Source organism: Homo sapiens, chromosome 6, assembly GCF_000001405.40.
Source record: "Homo sapiens chromosome 6, GRCh38.p14 Primary Assembly".
NCBI lineage: Eukaryota > Metazoa > Chordata > Mammalia > Primates > Hominidae > Homo > Homo sapiens.
The window spans coordinates 80200912-80219949 of NC_000006.12; the positions used below are offsets into that span (position 1 = coordinate 80200912).

A 19038-nucleotide genomic window follows, 5' to 3' on the forward strand; every position below is an offset into this window, starting at 1 on the left:
TTTTTTCCTGTTCTGTATTTAGCGGAAGAAGTCCCTATAGAACCATACAACATCCCACTGTCCCAGGCCGAAGTCATACAGGAAGGGAGTGATGTTACTCTAGTTGCCTGGGGCACTCAGGTGAGTAGCATTGATCCCAACTGTTAAAACCTACGTTGTGCTTGGAAGCTCTCATTTTAAATCCTGATACATGAAAAATTGAAAACGATGTTTTCTTTATATCTCAGATTAAGTCTGGTGCTACTGATGCTAATTTCTTTTTTCCCTCAACTTTATTGGTGTGTAATTGACAAATGAAATTATATATCTTCAAGGTATATATGTGATGATTTGATATATGCATACATTGTGAAATGATTGCCATAATCAAATTAATTAATGGATCCATCACCACACATAGTTACTATTTTGTGTGTGGGGGTGGGGGCGAGGACACTTCAGATCTATTATTTTCCCTAGTCACTGCTGTATATTAGATCCTGAGAACTTCCTCATCTTATAACTGAAAGTCTGTGGTACGGATTTCTGAGTGAAGGTGAGGTGTCTATATATATTAAAATGTATATGCATGTGGTGGCCATAAATATATTACAACAATGTATTAATTAGAAACACATATCTTTTGGAATACATGTATACCCATGTTACTTTCGCTGCAAATGGCTATAATCTTTTTCATCACATTTCCTGCCATCTCTCATCATTACTTTGCTGCTCACGTGGACCCATCCACTGGTCAAGCCTCAAAATTCCATATCTTCCTTTTTTTCCAGTGACCCTCTCTGCTGATCCACTTCATTTTCCCCCCGACTTGCTGTCACTTTGCTCTACCTCCCAACTTTTTCTCTGGCCACGAACTCCTATCTCTTCTACTTTTCTCTCTCCTTCTTTTACAGATATGGTCAGTTTTAATTTTTCTGTATAAAGGAAATCCTTATTTTAGGAAATTTAGGGCAATGCAATATAAAGAAGATAACAAAAATAGTTTTCAATATCACAAGCTCCTACTCTCCTTTCCTTTTGATTTTTGGCATGGAGAGCTAGAGTCCTTATGGTTTCTCACCTTCAGTGGGGTAACTCTGCTGCTTGGCGAGTTGTATCCCATTGATATTGTCCTTGGTGGGTGTGGCAAACCTTTTTGCTATCCTTCTGTCCACTTTTTGATCCACATCTCTGTGGTCAGCTCATGACCTTACTTCTCTTTTTAATAGGGAGGTTAGAGTGTATTAGGTATTAATTCAGATAACTTGCTCTTCCTCTTGCTTCTAATTCTTTCCTTCTTCCCTTTGTCTTGAAGAAGAGGTGTCTGGTTTACTTAGCAACCTCTGCAAATCAGTTTCAGACTGCGTTCCATTTTACCTTCTCCAGGACTGTAGTCTATTAGCTAGTCCATCTCTCTCCTGCATCTTCAGTTTTCCATTTCTTGTTGCTCTTATTTAAAAAGTATGTTTCTCTTCACTATTTAAAGATTCCTTTCTCCTTAAATACGATTATGTCTCCCTCCTTTTAACACTGAACTTGAACAACTGTTTTCTAGTGTCTGTATTTAATTTCTTAAATTCATTATATTTTTGTAGCTGTGAGTTCTATTCCCACTAATTTACTGTTTTTGTCAACATTACTGATCTTCTAGTTGTTTAAATTCAGCTCTTATTCCTGCTATGGTATGTGATACTGGCTGCTATCCCTATGAAATCTTTTCCTCTTAAGTTTCTGCAATACACTGTCTCCTGGTTTTCTTTCTAGCTCTTTAACCGTTCTTTTTATCTCCTTTTTTTCTTTCCTTCCCTCCATTTTTCCCTCCCTCCCTCCCTCTCTTTCTTCCTTCCTCTCCTCTTGGTCCATTTTTTCCTTAAATGTTGGTGATTTTTACCCTTTACTTCTCCCTCTACATGCTTTCTACGTATTTGTATGACTTCATTTACCTTCTACATGCCATCTTTGTAATCAGTATCTGTGGTACTGACTTCTCTCTCTAAGCACCTCTTTCCATCTGTTTTCTAGACATCTATACTTGTTATTTTCGCAGAATATGGGCTTCAACATATTTAAAACAAATTTATAAATTCTCCATGCAGATCAGTTCCTGAGACTTTAAATACTGTCTCTAATAGTGACATCAGCATTCAACTAGTTTTTGAGGCTAGAACCTTTGTAGTCATTCTCTGCATATTTTTCTCTTTATTTCAGGTTCATGTGATCCGAGAGGTAGCTTCCATGGCAAAAGAAAAGCTTGGAGTGTCTTGTGAAGTCATTGATCTGAGGACTATAATACCTTGGGATGTGGACACAATTTGTAAGGTATGAATATAATGGTGATAGAATGTCATTTCCCTGAAACCTTTGGCCAAATATGTTGTATATTTGCAAATAATTCTTTTGAAATTGTGAGCTATGTGAGCATTTTCAATTGATTTAAAACTTTTAAATTTGCAGCATGAAAGAAAGTTGTATAAACAGCTTCATGCTCAAGGAAACAAATCACTATAGAATTTATTTTTCCTCCTGTAGTTTCCTTTGTTTAAAATATTACAAAATGGGGTCCTTTATGCAGTCACCTTGGGTTGAATTGTGTGAGTCATAGAGCATATCAAGGATGCCGAAGGCACCTGTGTTTTTGACTTCTTATTAGTTATGGTTCAGTAAGCTAGGTTTAATTTAGTCAGGTAAATTAAGTGATTTGGCTGAATTTTCATTTATCTTCTCTCCAAAAGTAATGGGGATGGATTTTTTAAAAACATAACTCTGTATATAGTCTTAATACTGTGGATTACAGTCTAAGGGTTATGTGGAGATTCTGGCTCCTCTAATTTACAGTTTCTATCTAAGTAGCCTCATGACCTTTGGCCTGATTACATTGGTCTTGTTTTTACTATTAAGATTTACATAGCCAGTTCCCTCTTAAGAATATAGTTTAGCTCTCATTTACCTCTTTATATCCAGTATCTTTCACACCAATGCCAAGATAATTTAAGAAGCATCTATTTTCATATTGATACAAAGAAGGTTAAGCACTCTGTTTGTAATAGTCTTATCAATTAAGTCTAGCTACATGTAAATTATATGTACCTAGTCTTAATAGATAAGTACAATAGATATATGTACGATTAATAGATAGATGTACAATTACATGTAAAATTGTAGGAAACAATGACATGTATTATTTTTTCTTGATATACTGCTATAGTATAGGGCATTTTATATTTACCACTTTTAAGAGCTTTGGCATTTTCATAGCTTTTACAGGCTCTTTCTTGGGTTAGTTACATGAAAATAACCTGCAGATACTACTGTAAAAGTATAGCCTAGGATGTTTTTAGGTGAAGAGTGTTTTATAATTTAGTAGAAGATGTAAGATTTGTTATAGTAAATGTTTGTGAAGACTCACTTGACACCATCTAAACACTTGACATGCTTACAAATGATCCCGAGCCATTCTATTTGTAGTTGCTGTAATTAAGAGCAATATTTCAGATTGAGTTATTCATAGCTTCATGAAAATAACGCTTTTTGCAGGCATTTTCAAATCAAGTCAGACACCGGGTTTTCTTTCAAATAGCCAGACGTTCCAAATTATAGTTAAACTAGAGTTGTCTTCTTGTTTGCAACATATATCCACCACTTATCCTGGGGTTTGTATTTTTAGTGTAGATGGTGCTTTTGTATGGGGATATGATGTTTTATGATGGCGCAGTGCGGAGGGCATTCACATATGGTCAGGGCAAGCACTTTTAGAACTTTATTTACGTATCTATCTATATATATATAAATAATACCTTAAACATTCAAAAAGCATTTGTAGCAGCTTATTGTAAAGCACAAGTATACTAATACTTCATTTTGGCAACCGTGGAAGCAAAGAGAGTAGAGTTAGGGGCAGAAAGAAGGGTGAAGTTGTTTATATTTACATCGATAGCAGTTTGCTTTTGCATCACTGTGTTAAATCTGTTGGTCGCATCTTTGTCTGATCCTAGAATGCAGATCCATTTTCCTTAGGGCTCTATCCTACTGGGAAAGATGAAAGAGGAGACAAGCGATCTCTACTGAATGAGAAAGTGATGCATCAGACCTCTGACTTATTAGCGTCATTATTTTGTTTTGTTTTGGGATGCTTTCATCCGGTTGTGACAGTGAAAGCCAGCTTCTTGATTGCTTTGGGTCTATTTGAGACTCTCTTCGTTGCTGATGATGGTACCTCTCCTGTTTTCTTTTGATGTATCAAAAGAGGTAAAATTTTGATACTTAGCTTTTTCCTGCTAGGATTTAGAGATGATTTTAAAGAAGAGGGCCCTATAACCAAATATTTATATGGAAAATGAGGGTTTTTTTTCCCCCAGAGTGAAGCTTTTTTAATTCATCTTGATGAATTCTATAGTAACCAAAATTTATATTATAATCTCTTTTAATTAGCTGTGTTTTATCAGTTGTTTTTGTCTTATGACTCATTAGATCGCTGAGTTTTATTCGTTGTGTGTCAACTAAACCCCAATATATATCTTTTGGAACGCCTGATCAAGAAAAGAAAGCATATTAAAGGCAAAAACGATTCGTTGAACACACATTATCATACTCTATACACTAAAATGCCTCTGGGACACTTGAGGAATTCATACTTCTTGCTTAATCCTTGATACATGGTTTGGAAGTTATAAACCAAAATAAATATTTGCTCGGGGATAGAGAAAGGAGCAGAGTCTTTGACTGTTGCTCAAGGGAGTTAAAAAATTAGAGACTTAAATGGTCCTAGAAACCACAGCTAGTTTTTCCACTCAATTCTGAACTTGATATTAAAAAGCTAAGCTGGAGACTTCTGAAAAGCACAGTAGAAAATTCTTGAGTTTTGAAGTGCTTAAGAGACAGAGACCTACCCTGTGCCATGGGTGTGTGTGTGTGTGTGTGTGTGTGTGTGTGTGTGTGTGTGTGTAGGTGGATTGGCTTAAGAGAATCAGCTGTGTGAGTTCAAAGCCCTGAAATGAGTGGCATGTTGACACCGATGACCTATAGCTGCTTTTTAGTTGGCTACACTTGCTATTTGGTCTCAACCAGGTGTGTAGAATCCAGGTATATAGAACTCATATTTTGTGGGGCTGTAGTGACAAAATTGAAATTTTGAGGGGATTTAAACACATACTTGACCTTTTATTTGCCAAATTCTAAAGGTGTGAATGGTGAAAGGTAAGTAGAAAATATCTGGAAAGTGAAGCTATCACTTGGTAATGAAGTGACAAAGACCCATCATACTCTCAATTGAAAGCCATGGAGAGTTAGGTCTTACAATTAGAGGCAAACCAGATGTAGACCAGGTCATCTCAAACCCACAATACAGCCTCTACCCCTTTGAATTTTTTATTGAATTATGTACTTTTACTCTATCTGCGCAGCAGAGCCAAGGAGTCAATCCTCTCATTATCTGGAACTTCTATAAACCAGCATTCAATAAAAAACTAAGTAGATGAAGAGACAGGAGTATTTGATCAATAACAAAGGGGAAAGAAACAATAAAAAGCAGAAGCACAGCTGATCCAGATATTGGAGTTAGCAGACAAGAACATCTTGATTGTTATGCTTAGGAACATAGAGAAAATAAGGAACAAAAGAGGTAAGAGGGTGGAGAATTACCCTAGAAAGTTTGTGTGTGTGTGTGTGTGTGTGTGTGTACATGTATGTATATGGATCAAGTAAACTTTGTGGAGCCATCAGAGAAATATATATCTGACAATAAGAACTCAATGAATAGGCTTATAACATATCGGACTCAGTAGATGATAGCAATAATGAACTGGAAGGCTAGTTAATAGAAAATGTCCAAATTGAAGCACAAGTCAGAAAAGAGGATAAAACACATTTGGGATCTGGTCAAAAGATCTGTCTTATATACAATTTGAATTCCAGAAAAAGAAGAGAGAGAAAATCTCTAACAGTATCTAAAAAAAAATTCTCATGAAGATTTCAGAACATCATTACACAAGCTTTGTTAACTTTTAAGATTATATTCAAAGAAAACCACACCTGTATGCACAATGGCATAACATCTTAAATTGCTGACTGTGCTAGCCTACAATTCTATATTCAGTGAAAATATCTTTTAAAAATTAAGATGAAATAAAAATAGTTTAGGCAAACAGATATTGAGAGAATTTATCACTAGCAGGCTCTCACTAAAAGAAGGTACTGCAAGGGAGCTCCCTTTGGCAGAAGGAAAATGATTCTAAAAGAAAATATGGAGGAGAGCATACACTATAGCTTAGTATTGATTATCCGAAACAGTAGTCATAATTTTCTGTGAAAGTTTAAGTTTAGTGAAGTTTAAGTTAAATATATGGAATTGAAATGTAAGACAATAAAAACACAAAAGCTAGGGGGTCTTACATGGAGTTAAAATATTCTGTTGTTCTAGGATTATTATGAAGTGTAATGTTCTGGTTAGGTTATAATCAAGGATACAAGTTATAATCTCCAGTGTAACAACTGAAATAACAGGGAATGAATGCATATCTAGCAAGTTAATAAGAGAACTATAAATTAATAAAAATATTTGGTTAATCCAAAATAAATAAGTATGAAAAATGGATGGGTCAATAGATAACAGATGATAAGATGATATAAACCCAAATATAGAAGTAATTAAATTAAATACAAAAAGATTAAATAAACCTAGTAAAAGTCTAAGATCCTCAGACTTCATGAAAAACAACTACCACCACCATGTGTAGCTTAAAAAAGGCATACTTTAAATATAAGGACATCAAAATGTTGAAAATGAAAGGATGGAAAAAGAAAGCTGGTGTAGATACACTAATTTCAAATAAAGCATTAAGGCAAAAAGGACTACTAGAAGTGAAAAGGAGCATTTCATTATGCCAAAGGGACCAGTCCACCTTAAATATATCATAATCCTAAGTCTATTTCATCCTTAATAACATAGTTTGAAAATAAATAAAGCCATAAACTAAACAAAGAAAACACAGAACTCAGAAGAGGTATGAACATATTCACAGTTACAGCAGGAGACTTTAAGACATCCCTCTTAAATCTTGCTTAATCAAGCAGACAAAATCTCGTGAAGTGTATAGAAGATCTGAACAAAGCAATTTGTAAAGTTGTCCTAATTGTGCACCAAACTATCAATAGAATATGTAGCATTTGTCAAAATTGGCCAAATGCTGGGGCATAAATATAACCTTAAAAAATTCCAAAAGCTTGGAGTCATTGAGATTATGTTCTCTAACAATAGTGGAATTCAGTTAGAAATCAAGTGAAAGAAAAGGACAACTAGAAAAGCCTCGACTTCCTACAAATTAAGTACCTTACTCTAAATAACCGTGGATTACAGAAGAAACTCAAAAATTAGAAAAGAAACTGGACTGAATGTTAATGAAGATAGAATATATCAAAAGTTTCAAGAACCAGCTTAAGCCATGCTCAGAGGAAACTTTATAGCTGTAAATATATAAATTTAGGAAATAGGAATAAGAATTAAAAAAATTAATGATCTGAATTTCCATCTCCAGAAAGAAAATCAAACCTAGAGAAAGTAGAAGAAATGAAGTAATTAAGAGCAGAAATTACTGAAATTGAATCTGTAGAGAAATTTAATAAAGTAAAATTTAGATCTTTGAAGAGATTAATGTAATTGATAAACTTTTAACTAATGGAAAAAATAGGGTAGAAACAAAGGACAAATATTTGTTTGTATGATGAAGAGCCCACAGACAATGGTAAGACAAAGAGGATGTTATGAATAATTTTACAAATAAGTTTTGAGTAAAGTTGACAATTTTCTGGAAAAATATAAGTCATTCAACATTGATACAAGAGGAATTAGAAAATCTGAATAGTCATGATCTATTAAAAAATTAAATTTAATGTTATTAACTCTCATACAGAGAAAACCCCAGGCCTAAATGGCTTTATTGGTGAATTCTCTAAAATGTAGTCCTTATGCAAACCCTTACGGAGAGTGGAATCAAAGAGAAAACTTTCAAATTCTTTTTATAAGGCCAGCATAATCTTAATATCAAACGTATTTAGGACAGTATAAGAAAGGAAAATTATAGACAGCTTTTAAAATAAATGTAGAGCACATAATGTTCATAAATATTCACAAAGCAGTTGATACAATTCCTCATGTTAACAGAAAACAGGAAGAAAAACCTGACTACCTTGGTAGTGCAAGAGAAGTATTTATTAAAATTCAATATTTATTCATGATTAAAATTTCATAGCAACCTAGAAATGGAAGATAATTATCTTACTCTGGTGAAGATTAGTTGCAAAATGCCTGCAGCAAAAATTATAATTCCTAGTGAAATTTTGACAGCTTTCCTCTTGATATTAGGACTGTCTAGGGAAAAATTTCGTGATACGTATGTCAGAACTTTACACAGAAAATCACAGAATATTATTTAGGAAAATTAAAGGCCCATAAACTGAAGCATATAGCATGTTAGTGGATTGTAAGGCCAAGAAGAGCCAGAGCAATCTTGAAGAAGAACAAAACTGGAGGACTTAATTATCAAATGTTGAGATGTGTTATTAGTGCTGTAGTAATTATAACATTATATAGGTATAAAAATACACAAATAGACCAATGGAATAAAATAAGAGTCTAGAAACAGACCTGCTGGTTATCTGATTCAGGACAAAGGTGACTTTGCAATTTTGAGAGGAAGAGGTAGTTTTCTCAATAGAGGATGTTGATTCATTTGGGTACTATGAAAAATAATTATATTAACTCTTACCACACAAGCATCAGTTACAGCTGAGTTGCAGATCTAATTGTGAAAGGAAAAAATAATGCTCTTGGGAGAAAGCATAGGTGAATATGTTCATGTGATCTTGTGCACTAATAAAACACTAACGTTAAAAAAGGGCTGATAACATTGTGCTTCATTACATTTAAGAAAATTTATTCATCAAAAGGGTGCCAATAAGAGAGTAAACAGGTAATTACAGATTTGGAGAAACTCAAGGAAACTTATATCTGGAAATATAAAGTACTTACACAATCAAAAAGAAAAGACCAATATCCAATAGAAATATGGGTAACAGTCTTGAAAAGGTACACTAAGTGTTGGCAATAATGTGGAGCAATTCAACTCTCATAGACTATTGTTGGTAACATAAATTTGTACAACCATTTTGGAAAATTGTTTGGCAGTATCTACCTGAACCCTATAACCTAGCAATTCCAATCCTGTATGTGTATATGTGAAGAAATATACAAAAAAAAAAAAAAAAAAACCAGAAGCGTTCATAGGAACATTACTTCTAGTAGCCCCACACTGTAAACTGCCGAAGTACTCATCAACTAGAGAATGGATCAATAATAAGTATAATATTGTTCAGCGATGAGAATAAATGAACTAAAAATGTAATGGAATAATGTATATTCATCTCATAAACACAAAGAAGCCAGACTCAAGTAAGTACATACTGAATGATTTATTTTATATAGAGGTAAAAAATAGACAAAACTAATTGATGATGTTAGAAGTCAGGCTAGTGATTATCATGAGAGTGGTTAATAATTGGAAGAGTGTGTAAGGGCTATGAGTTGCTGGTAACAGTTTCTTGTTCTGAGTGCTGATTATTCAGGTTAAATTTTTGAAAACTGAGCCGAACACTCATTTGGTGCACCTTTTTTGTATATATGTTAAACTTGAACAAAATTTTTAAAAAAGAAATAAAAAGAAGCACTATCTTCTGTTTAATTCATTTCCTTTACTTCACATTGTAGTGAGCCCTTTTATGGACTCAGGGAGAGAGAGCCTTGGTGTCCTTAGCCAGGAAGATTTTCCTTTTATCATGCAGCTCTGTCCACACCCTTCGTTCAGTTTCTCCCTGCAACTCAGCTCAGCTGTCATGCTGATGTGAAACAGGAGCTCATAAGTAGGGCTGTTCTCTCTCAAGCCTTCCCAGGAGTAAGAACAGTGGTTAGGGTTATGGGCTTTAATGGACTTTCCTGCTGACATGCAGACCACATTCAAAATGAGTTAAAAAGTGAGCTGCCGTGTTAACAAAACAGTGGCCAGGCCGAATAGCTGTTGAGGTGCTGTCAAGCTTGAAAGGAAGATTTTTCTTAAATAAGGAGAAATTCAGAGAAGGTGCCTTCAAAAATAAGAACTTGATTTTGGCAGGAGAATAAACAAAAGGCTTTGAAAGAAACTCAGATTCTCAAGCATCGTTGTCATTTAATCTAGAATCAACTACATAACAACACTGCAAAAAAAGAACTGAAGCACAATCATTTACAAGGTCTAGGTGATTTTCACATATCTATAGAGAAGAAAAAACTGACACTTATAATTCTGACATGTTTAAACTTTACCTGAAGATTAAATTATGCTAATTATTAAAATGTATAAGAATTTGCCTTTATACCGTACAGTCTTTTTAATTTATCTTTTTCTGGTGTGTCCTGCCTCCCAGATTAAATTCCAAAGCATATCCTGCTGGCTTTGCCTACATAATATGTCCAAAATCTGACCACTGCTTGATCCTGCTGCAGACTACTAGCATTTCTCTCCTGGGTTTTGGCCATAGCCACCTAACAACTGTCTTGCGCTTCTGACCTTTCCTTGCCATAGGCAGAGTTGATACTTTTAATCTGAGTCATATCATGTTCCTTCTAGTTTCAAAAAGCCTCAGTGATTTCCCATTGAGAGAGAAGTCAAATTCCTTACCATGGCCTACAAGAATTTACCTGATTTCATCGCTTTCCACCTCCTACCACCCATCCACCCTTTAGAAAATGTTCTTTCTCCAGCAAGCCCCTTCATTCACTCTGTTATTCTATCAGGGGAACCTGCCCCCAACATTTCAACATAGATTCTTTCTATTTTCCATAAGTGTTGGCTGGCTGAGAAATAAAGAGAAAGAGTACAAAGAGAGGACTTTTACAGCTGGGCCACCGGGGGTGACATCACATATCAGTAGGACTGTGATGCCCACCTGAGCCTCAAATCAGCAAGTTTTTTATTTATTAAGGGCTTCAAAAGGGGAGGGGGTGTAAAACAGGGAGTAGATACAAAGATCACATGCTTCAAAAGGCAAAAAGCAGAACTACTAATAAGGGTCTAACAAAGAGCACATGCTTCTGAGGGAACAGGACAAAGGGAAAAAGCAGAACCACTGACAAGGGTCCAACAAAGATCACAAGGCAAAGGGCAAAAGCAGAACTACTGATAAGGGTCTATGTTCAGCAGTGCACCTGTTGTCTTGATAAGCATCTTAAACAACAGAAAACGGGGTTCAAGAGCAGAGAACCGGTCTGACCACAAATTTACCAGGGCGGAGTTTTTCCCCACCCTGATAAGCCTGAGGGTACTGCAGGAGACCAGGGCGTATCTCAGTCCTTATCTCAACTGCATAAGACAGACATTCCCAGAGTGGCTGTTTTAGACCTTCCCCCAGGAATGCATTCCTTTCCCAGGGTATTAATATTAATATTCCTTAAAAGAATTTAGCGATATCTCTCCTACTTGCATGTCCATTTATAGGCTCTCTGCAAGAAGAAAAATGTGGCTCTTTTTGCCCGACCCCGCAGGTGGTCAGACCTTATGGTTGTCTTCCCTTGTTCCCTAAAAATCACTGTTATTCTGTTCCTTTTCAGGTGCCCTGATTTCATATTGTTCAAACACACATGTTTTACAATCAATTTATACAGTTAACATAATTATCAGAGTGGTCCTGAGGTGACATATATCCTCAGTTTACGAAGATAACAGGATTAAGAGATTAAAGTAAAGACAGGTGTAAGAAATTATAAAAGTATTATTTGGGAACTGATAAATGTCCATGAAATCTTCACAATTTATGTTCCTGTGCCACAGCTCCAGCTGGCCCCTCCATTCGGGTTCCCTGACTTCCTGCAACATCATTCTGTTAGGCACTACTCAAATACCATTAAGGCCTTCCTTGACCAGCTTATGTGATACTGAATCCTATCAAGACTTCCTTTCACCTTTTCCTTCTTTCCTCTTCTCTGTAGTGATTAGCATGAGCTAAAATGTTACGTACTCTTGTTATTTACATTGTTGATCTTTCTTCCAAGTTCTGTGACAGCAGAAATTTTTGTCTTTTGGTTCAAAAATTCCCAGTACCTGCAACAATGACTGTGATAGGATTGGTGCTCAATAAATACTTGCTGAAAAGTAATAAATATTAGCAAGAGAAAGTTTAACAATGCTATGAAAACTGTTGTAATATTAAAATGTTTTCAATTTGGTGCTTCTTCTTGGTGCTCATAAAAAAGTTTAAAAAGTAACTTTAGAACAGTATTCTATGAATAAATACATTAGTTTATTCTAAATTGAAATATTTATTTAAAAGTTTTAAGTTTTGCTTTGACCTTGCATTTGACTTTTCTTAATGGTTGTCTATGTTTCATAATGGCATATAGAAATTATTTATTTGAATTCTTATTAGAATAGGAACAATTTATCTACTTTGAAAGGCAAAGTGAAATTGACTGTACAGTAAACTTCAGTTATTCTTAATTTCTAAGACATGAGTTTTATGGATAATTACATTTTCTGAATAGATGGGAGTTACTATTTGTATAGCAGCTTTTAAAACTGGGTCTGTCCTGAATTTCGTAGCCATCACAGCCACTGTGCACTGCTTTAGATGAGGGTTCTTCTCTGTTCAAATACACCCTGTTACAAGATACTGTCTCCCAGTCTTCCCTCCCCCTCACTCTCTGCCCAAAGCAATCTCCTACCTTTTTGAAGTTCTTGGGAAGTGTTTTTTTTTGTTTTTTTTTTTTTAATTTTAACAAAATTAGAAAATGATAGAGAAAATATCTTCATTTCTGTTCCCTCCATTTTTCTCTCCAGCTCTTTTTCCTGCTTTCCCTTTCTTTTCTCTTTTAAACATAGGTTATGTAGTAGAAGATGAAGACATACTCATAGAAATGAATAGTTGTTCTTTGGGTACATATTGGGCATCTCTAGTCTCAAGATATTTTAGGGGTAGTCTATCATAGGAGCAGGATAAGGCCTTAGGGGAAAGGAGCTAGAAGTAATTCAGCTGTGGCATGAGGGAGTGACAGTAGCTGGGAGGGAGGGCTCAGTGTTCTTAGATTTAGCATTCTTTCCTCCCATCCTTTCACCCCAATTATTTCCATTCTTGCTATAGAAGACTTCACTGGGGGAACTGGATAATAGCAGGACAGGCACTAAGGCTGGCAGAGTTAGTGGGAATGGAGACGATCAGGGAGCAGAGGTCTTCAGCAAAAAAGGAAAGGGAAATTGTAGAGCTGGAATGGGGAAGGAGTCAAACCTTAGTAATTGGATGAAGGACCAAGTTTGTTTACTCTTTGCATTTGCACCTGGGTGTTAATCACCAAGTATTTGTGAATGGTGCAGAAGATGTTCTGAAGACCCATAGATTAAATTGGAAATTTAATTCTGATTTGTTAGACTGAATAGCTTTAAACTGGTTTTATGGAGAAGTTGAAGAATTTGTCTATAGAGAATCTCTAATATTTAAGTATTGCCAGTTAAAATATACATTTTAAAAATTGGTTACTTGAACTTAAGTGAATAATTCCGTGACTGAATACTAGCTATTTTGTTTGAGGCTGTGTCTGTTTGAGGGGAGCAGAGGGGGACAGAAAGTGAGTTAATGAAATCAAGAACATTCTCAAACAGTTGAGGGGTTGGGATGGAAAGGGAGCTAGTAACTACCTATAACCACTAGAGGCCTCTCTTAGGCCAAGTTTCATGGTTAATACCACTAGGTTTCCACAGCGGGGCCTGGCTCTGCCATTGTAAATTAAACATATGTTATAATTCTGAATAAATAGTATGACAGTAGTTTTATTCTAGGGCATTATTATAATGTAACCTAAATGGTTTAGCTTATATATCAGAATAACTGATGATCTCGTGAATTGAAAACAACAAATTAGAATTATTTTCTCTCTTCTTTTTCTCTAAACCTTTAGTTAAAAATGTAATCAAAGACTATTGCTAGGTAAAATTATATGTCTTCTTGACCGTACAAGGATATATGGGTTTAAAATTATTCTTGTTACATGTTGTGTTTAATTGTTGAGAGTAGTTTATATTTCTGAGGGTAGACTATAATAAAGTCATTTTAAGTCATATGTTAAAAATTATGTGTATTTCTTTCATGCTTATAATAAGCCTCTAATATAAAAAAAAACTAAGAAATGATTCAAAGATCTGTTAGACTTAAATGCTTTTCCTTAGGCATAGGGAAAAATGGTCTCATTTTGTGTGAGTTTGGAATTATTTTGGATATGGTTTGACCTTGCAGAGAAAACAGGTAGGGCGGTGCCCTCCTCTCAGATGAGAATAGTTTGTTTCTCTGTTCCAAAACAGGATGGCTGACAATTTGAAAGTTGGTCCCTCCTGCCAAGTCATTCTTCCTGTAGGATTTTCTTTGTCATGATCACAACTAGTTAGTTGTTGTACTAATTGGAACAAGTTCTAGGCTGTTGGATGCTATATTGGGATGTGGCTACTACATTGATTGTCCTGCCTGACAGCCCTTGGCCACTTCCTTTAAGTCCCATGAGGGCAGGGAATTTTGTGTATTATGTTCATTGCTATATCTGCAAGAGTCCTGAAGAGTTTAGAATATAGTAGATGCTCAGTAAATATTTGTTGAACCATCTGAAAAATAACGTGGCATTTGGTTTTTCAGTGAAAGAAATTAAAGAACTGGTAAATCCTCTAGGAAGAAAATACACTGAGATTATCAGTCATGCCATGGGGTCTATTTTTATTATGATTTACATTTTAGGTACATTTTAAAGAAGATTAAAATAATAACTATGGGTTCTGACCTAATGTTATATATATATACTTTTTGTTTTTTTGAGACGGAGTCTCGCCGTGCCACCAGTCTGGAGTGCAGTGGCACGATCTCCACACTGCAATCTCCGCCTCTGGGGTTCAAGCCATTCTCCTGCCTCAGCCTCCTGAGTAGCTGGAACTACAGGCGTGCACCACCATGCCCGTCTAATTTTTTGTATTTTAGTACAGACAGGGTTTCACCATGTTGGCCAGGATGGTCTTGATCTCCTGACCTCGTGATCCGCCTACCTCGGCCTCCCAAAGTGCTGGGATTACAGACGTGAGCCACCGTGCCCGGCCAATGTATCTTACATAATAGGACTTAGTTCCTGGTAAATGGTAAATTAAAAAAGTTAAAACTACATATGTTATGCATGTTTCCTTTTGTATTCAAACAGTTCTTCTAATTAGACATCAGTGTCATTATTTTATAGGGAAGAAAACTGAGGTTTGGGGAAGGTGGAGCAGCTTACAGCCAGTGGGGGACAGCACTGGCTTCAACCCAGGTTGCTGGATAATAAAAATTGTCACTTGAGAGTTTTGCTGATCAAATGCTTCTAAATGTCAGCTTAGAACATATTTTATCATATGTCAGGAATTTTCTTTCACATTTGCCCACCTTTATAATATAAAGATATGTGTTTTACAGGTGGGCAAATGTGACCTGTATACACCTTGTAAATCACACTACCATATTTTCTTTCATTTAGCATTTTTTTTCCTTCCACATGGAACTGGAGAAAGCAAGATTAAATTATATAATTATATTGTTCCATTTCACATCCCACCTGATGTGTTTTTGGTGTCCTCTTATACACTTAAATTATTTGAGTTTGACTCAAGTTTTCATTTTGTTTAAACTGTTTGCTTTCACTGTTACGAATAGCAGTGAAAAGAAAGAAATCCGTTACCTCATTTCATAATGAAAAAAGATTATAGGTACATTATGTTCTTAGTTTAACATTTTAGGTGTAATACAAGAAATCTAAATGTGTTGACTTTCTGTTCTTTCTTTGATGGCGTTTAACTCTCTCCCATTAAACTGGTGCTTTTTTTACGAAATTGTATTTATTCTGTAATCGTTAAGAATTTCTTATCTTTTCTATTATAACACCCTGGCTTTGCAGTGCTGAGCAGTGATAATTTAACTTAAAAATTTATTGAAACTGTGATGTACAAAGGTTTAACAAAAGGATATTACTTTTCTAGTTTATTCCAAAACTGGGGCCAGCTATGGTGGCTCACTCCTGTAATCCTAGCACTGAGCCTGAGGCGGGTGGATCACTTGAGGTCAGGAGTTTGAGACCAGCCTGACCAACATGGTGAAACCCCACCTCTACTAAAAATACAAAAATTGCTGGGCATGGTGGCTGGCACCTATAATCCCAGCTACTCGGGAGGCTGGGGCAGAGAAACTCTTGAACCCGGGAGGCAGAGGTTGCAGTGAGCCGAGACTGTGCCATTGTACTCCAGCCTGGGCAGCAAGAGTGAAATTCCATCTCAAAAAGAAAAAAGAAAAAAACAAAACAAAACTGGGGCTACTCTTACCAGCCATGAATAGTCAATCTTTCCAAACACGTACTTTCTGTGCTTTCATTTTTTTCTTCTAGGAACTTGGTTTGTTTCTTTACGTGTTTATATTTTCTTTTATGTGTTTAATTAAGTTATATAGTTTCTTACATAACTATTTCACATCTCAAGTTTATCTTTTAATATTCTATATTTGGCATTGTGATCATATCATTACAGTTTTTTCTGTATTTCCCTTTCCTTTTTCTTTTTTGAATGTGGCAGAAGAGATTTAAAAATTCAAGCAATCCATTAACATAGCACTAAAACACACAGTACAATGGAGCTTATAATGCAAAGTATCATCTTCCTTCCCTGCCCCTACTCCCTAAACACAGCCACTTTTAACCATTTCTGTATTTTATTCTTCTGAAGGCCACTTCCATATCTCTAGCAATACATTGCACAGATATTTCTGCTATAATGGAGTATATACATTTCTGCAGAGTAAATTGGATTCTCCATGCATGCTCACTAAAAATAACAGGGTTTATGGAAAGAAAAAGTGCGTGTAGCAAACCACTTAAAACAGCTTGGTAACTAGAGCGAAGAAGGGTTTTTAACCAGAGTCAGGAAGGATTGAGCCTGTTGATTTATGGAGTTCAGGGCAAATGCATCAAAGTTGGGGAGAAAGATGTAATAAACACTTCTAAATCAGAGCAGATGGGCCAGCCTGAGCCAAGAGACATAGTGCATGGTACTATATTTCTCTGAGGCTTGAGTCAGCGCTGTGGCTCTGCTTTGCGTTTTGCTTTGTTCCTAAGTGGCATAAAACAATGTGCTGGGGCAGATTGTACATATGCCAACACGACTAGGTTGGTTGCCGCCACTTCTCACTGGAAACACATTTCATACTTGTGCCAGGAAAATGGACTTTTCCTTGCTCAGTCCATTCCCTCATGTGTTTCACTGCTGAGTTAGGTTTTGTCGGTGGAGCCTGGGTCACATCTTTATCTTGGCTATAATGGAGGCTGGAAAACATAGTTTTTTTATATTCTACCTTGGGAAAGTGGAATTCATAATTAGGAGAACTATCAAAATGTGGAGAATATGTTAAAAAGTTTTAGATTTTTCAGGAATCAGAAGCCTACCACACGCACATGCACTCATGCACACACATGCATATAGGTGTATACACGCACACGTATGTGTGTGTTTCAATGTCTGTAACTTTTGATTTATAAATTTTAACATAATTTATTCACCACTATGACACATAACAGTTTAGTGGGCTTGCATTCCCTGCTGTCTTCATCTCATATTTCCTCAGTTTTGAGTTATGATATTACCTGTATTTTATTTTTTCTACTGATTACCTCTTTATTGTAATTTATTTTAATTTCTATATCTTACTCCATTAACTTTGCTTAGAATCTTTTGACCTCTCACTATGTAAGAAGATGATGTTAATGCCCTCTACTCCTATATCCACTGTTCTTTCCTCCCTTCCAATTCCCATTTTCTGTCAGCTGATTATTTTTACATTGCCAAGACTGAGAACATTACATTGTTTTATAACCGAAATGAAATAATTAAACCCTTGATTTTAAAAGTTGAAAAGCAGTACACACTGTTAATATTATTATGATAACAAATATTTTTCACCACTGTTGGGGGTAAGATTTTATTTTTCACTTGAGGTCCAGTGCTTGGTCTTTGGGACCCTAAAAGGAGATTCTCTTGGCATCTAGATCAAATGGTTTGCCTTTTAAATTAGTGCATTAACTGTTCAATGTCTTGCCACATTCTGAATGTTTCATATTTGGGCTGTGGCATTCTTTTAGATCCTTTTGGATTTTTTAGTTTTAATTACCTTTCATTTTCTCTTTGAAAAATCAAGACAAGCCTTTAAAATATCTTGAAGATCACTCATATTCTTTTTTGGAATTTACTCTTTTTTTTTTTTTCTTTTTTTGGAGACAGGGTCTTGCTCTTGTCACGCAGGCTGGAGTGCATGGTGTGATCTCAGCTCACTGCAACCTCTGCCTCCTGGGTTCAAGCTATTCTCCTGCCTCAGACTCCCAAGTAGCTGGGATTGCAGGCATGCACCACGATGCACCACTAATTTTGTATTTTTTAGTAGAGACGGGATTTCACCATGTTGGTCAGTCTGGTCTCAAACTCCTGACTTCGGGTGATCCACACACCTCGGCCTCCCAAAGTGCTGGAATTACAGGCATAAGCCACCGCACCCAGGGTACTCTTAGTTCTCTAATTTCCTTTTCCAGTCTTGACTACCCTTCTCTATACCTGCTGCACAACAATCACCAGGGATGTTTCTCCACTTCACTCTTAAAGGCACCATTTCCTGGGTCCTGCGATTTGCTCTTCCATGGTTATCTTTCTCATTTTGTTGGAGTACATTCATAATTAACTTTTTAAAGCAAAGGGCATATTGGGTGCAGGAGGTTTTCTGACACTTGTGTTAGGTAAAATGTTTTTATTTGGACTCAACATTTGCTTGATATTTGGCTGCGTATAGTATTCTAGGTTCACAGTAACTTTTACTTAGGACTTTGAAGATAATGCTTCATTATATACTAGTGTCACATTGGGGTAGAAAATTTTGATGCCACCCTGATTCTTATTCTTTTATACATGATCTCTCTGTGTGTTTGTTTTTCTGGAAGCTTTTGTGATT

At 35.8% G+C, this 19038-nt stretch overlaps 1 protein-coding gene across 27 annotated transcripts in view, besides 1 other annotated feature; it reads left to right on the forward strand.

The window, feature by feature from the left end:
• The window catches only part of BCKDHB (branched chain keto acid dehydrogenase E1 subunit beta), a 360067-nt gene that overhangs the window by 94302 nt on the left and 246727 nt on the right, over positions 1 to 19038 (forward strand). For 26 of the 27 annotated variants that reach the window (XR_001743546.3, NR_187564.1, NR_134945.2 and 23 more), the window contains 2 exons: positions 23 to 120; positions 2191 to 2301. Coding sequence is in view for 20 of the 27 variants with exons in the window: in NM_001318975.1 (NP_001305904.1) it covers positions 23 to 120; positions 2191 to 2301 (209 nt within the window). In the remaining 7 variants the exon portion in view is untranslated. Of the gene's footprint in view, positions 1 to 22; positions 121 to 2190; positions 4560 to 19038 lie in introns of those variants that run through there. The other variant, NM_001424044.1, reaches the window with a different exon arrangement.
• Positions 11181 to 11375: a silencer, noted in NCBI's record as "fragment chr6:80921809-80922003 (GRCh37/hg19 assembly coordinates)". NCBI's record gives its function as "represses an EF-1alpha promoter that drives an FKBP-Casp9 reporter gene in an ReSE screen in phorbol 12-myristate 13-acetate-treated (for megakaryocytic differentiation) K562 erythroleukemia cells {active_cell/tissue: K562(+PMA)}" and the evidence as "EXISTENCE:reporter gene assay evidence [ECO:0000049][PMID:32094911]".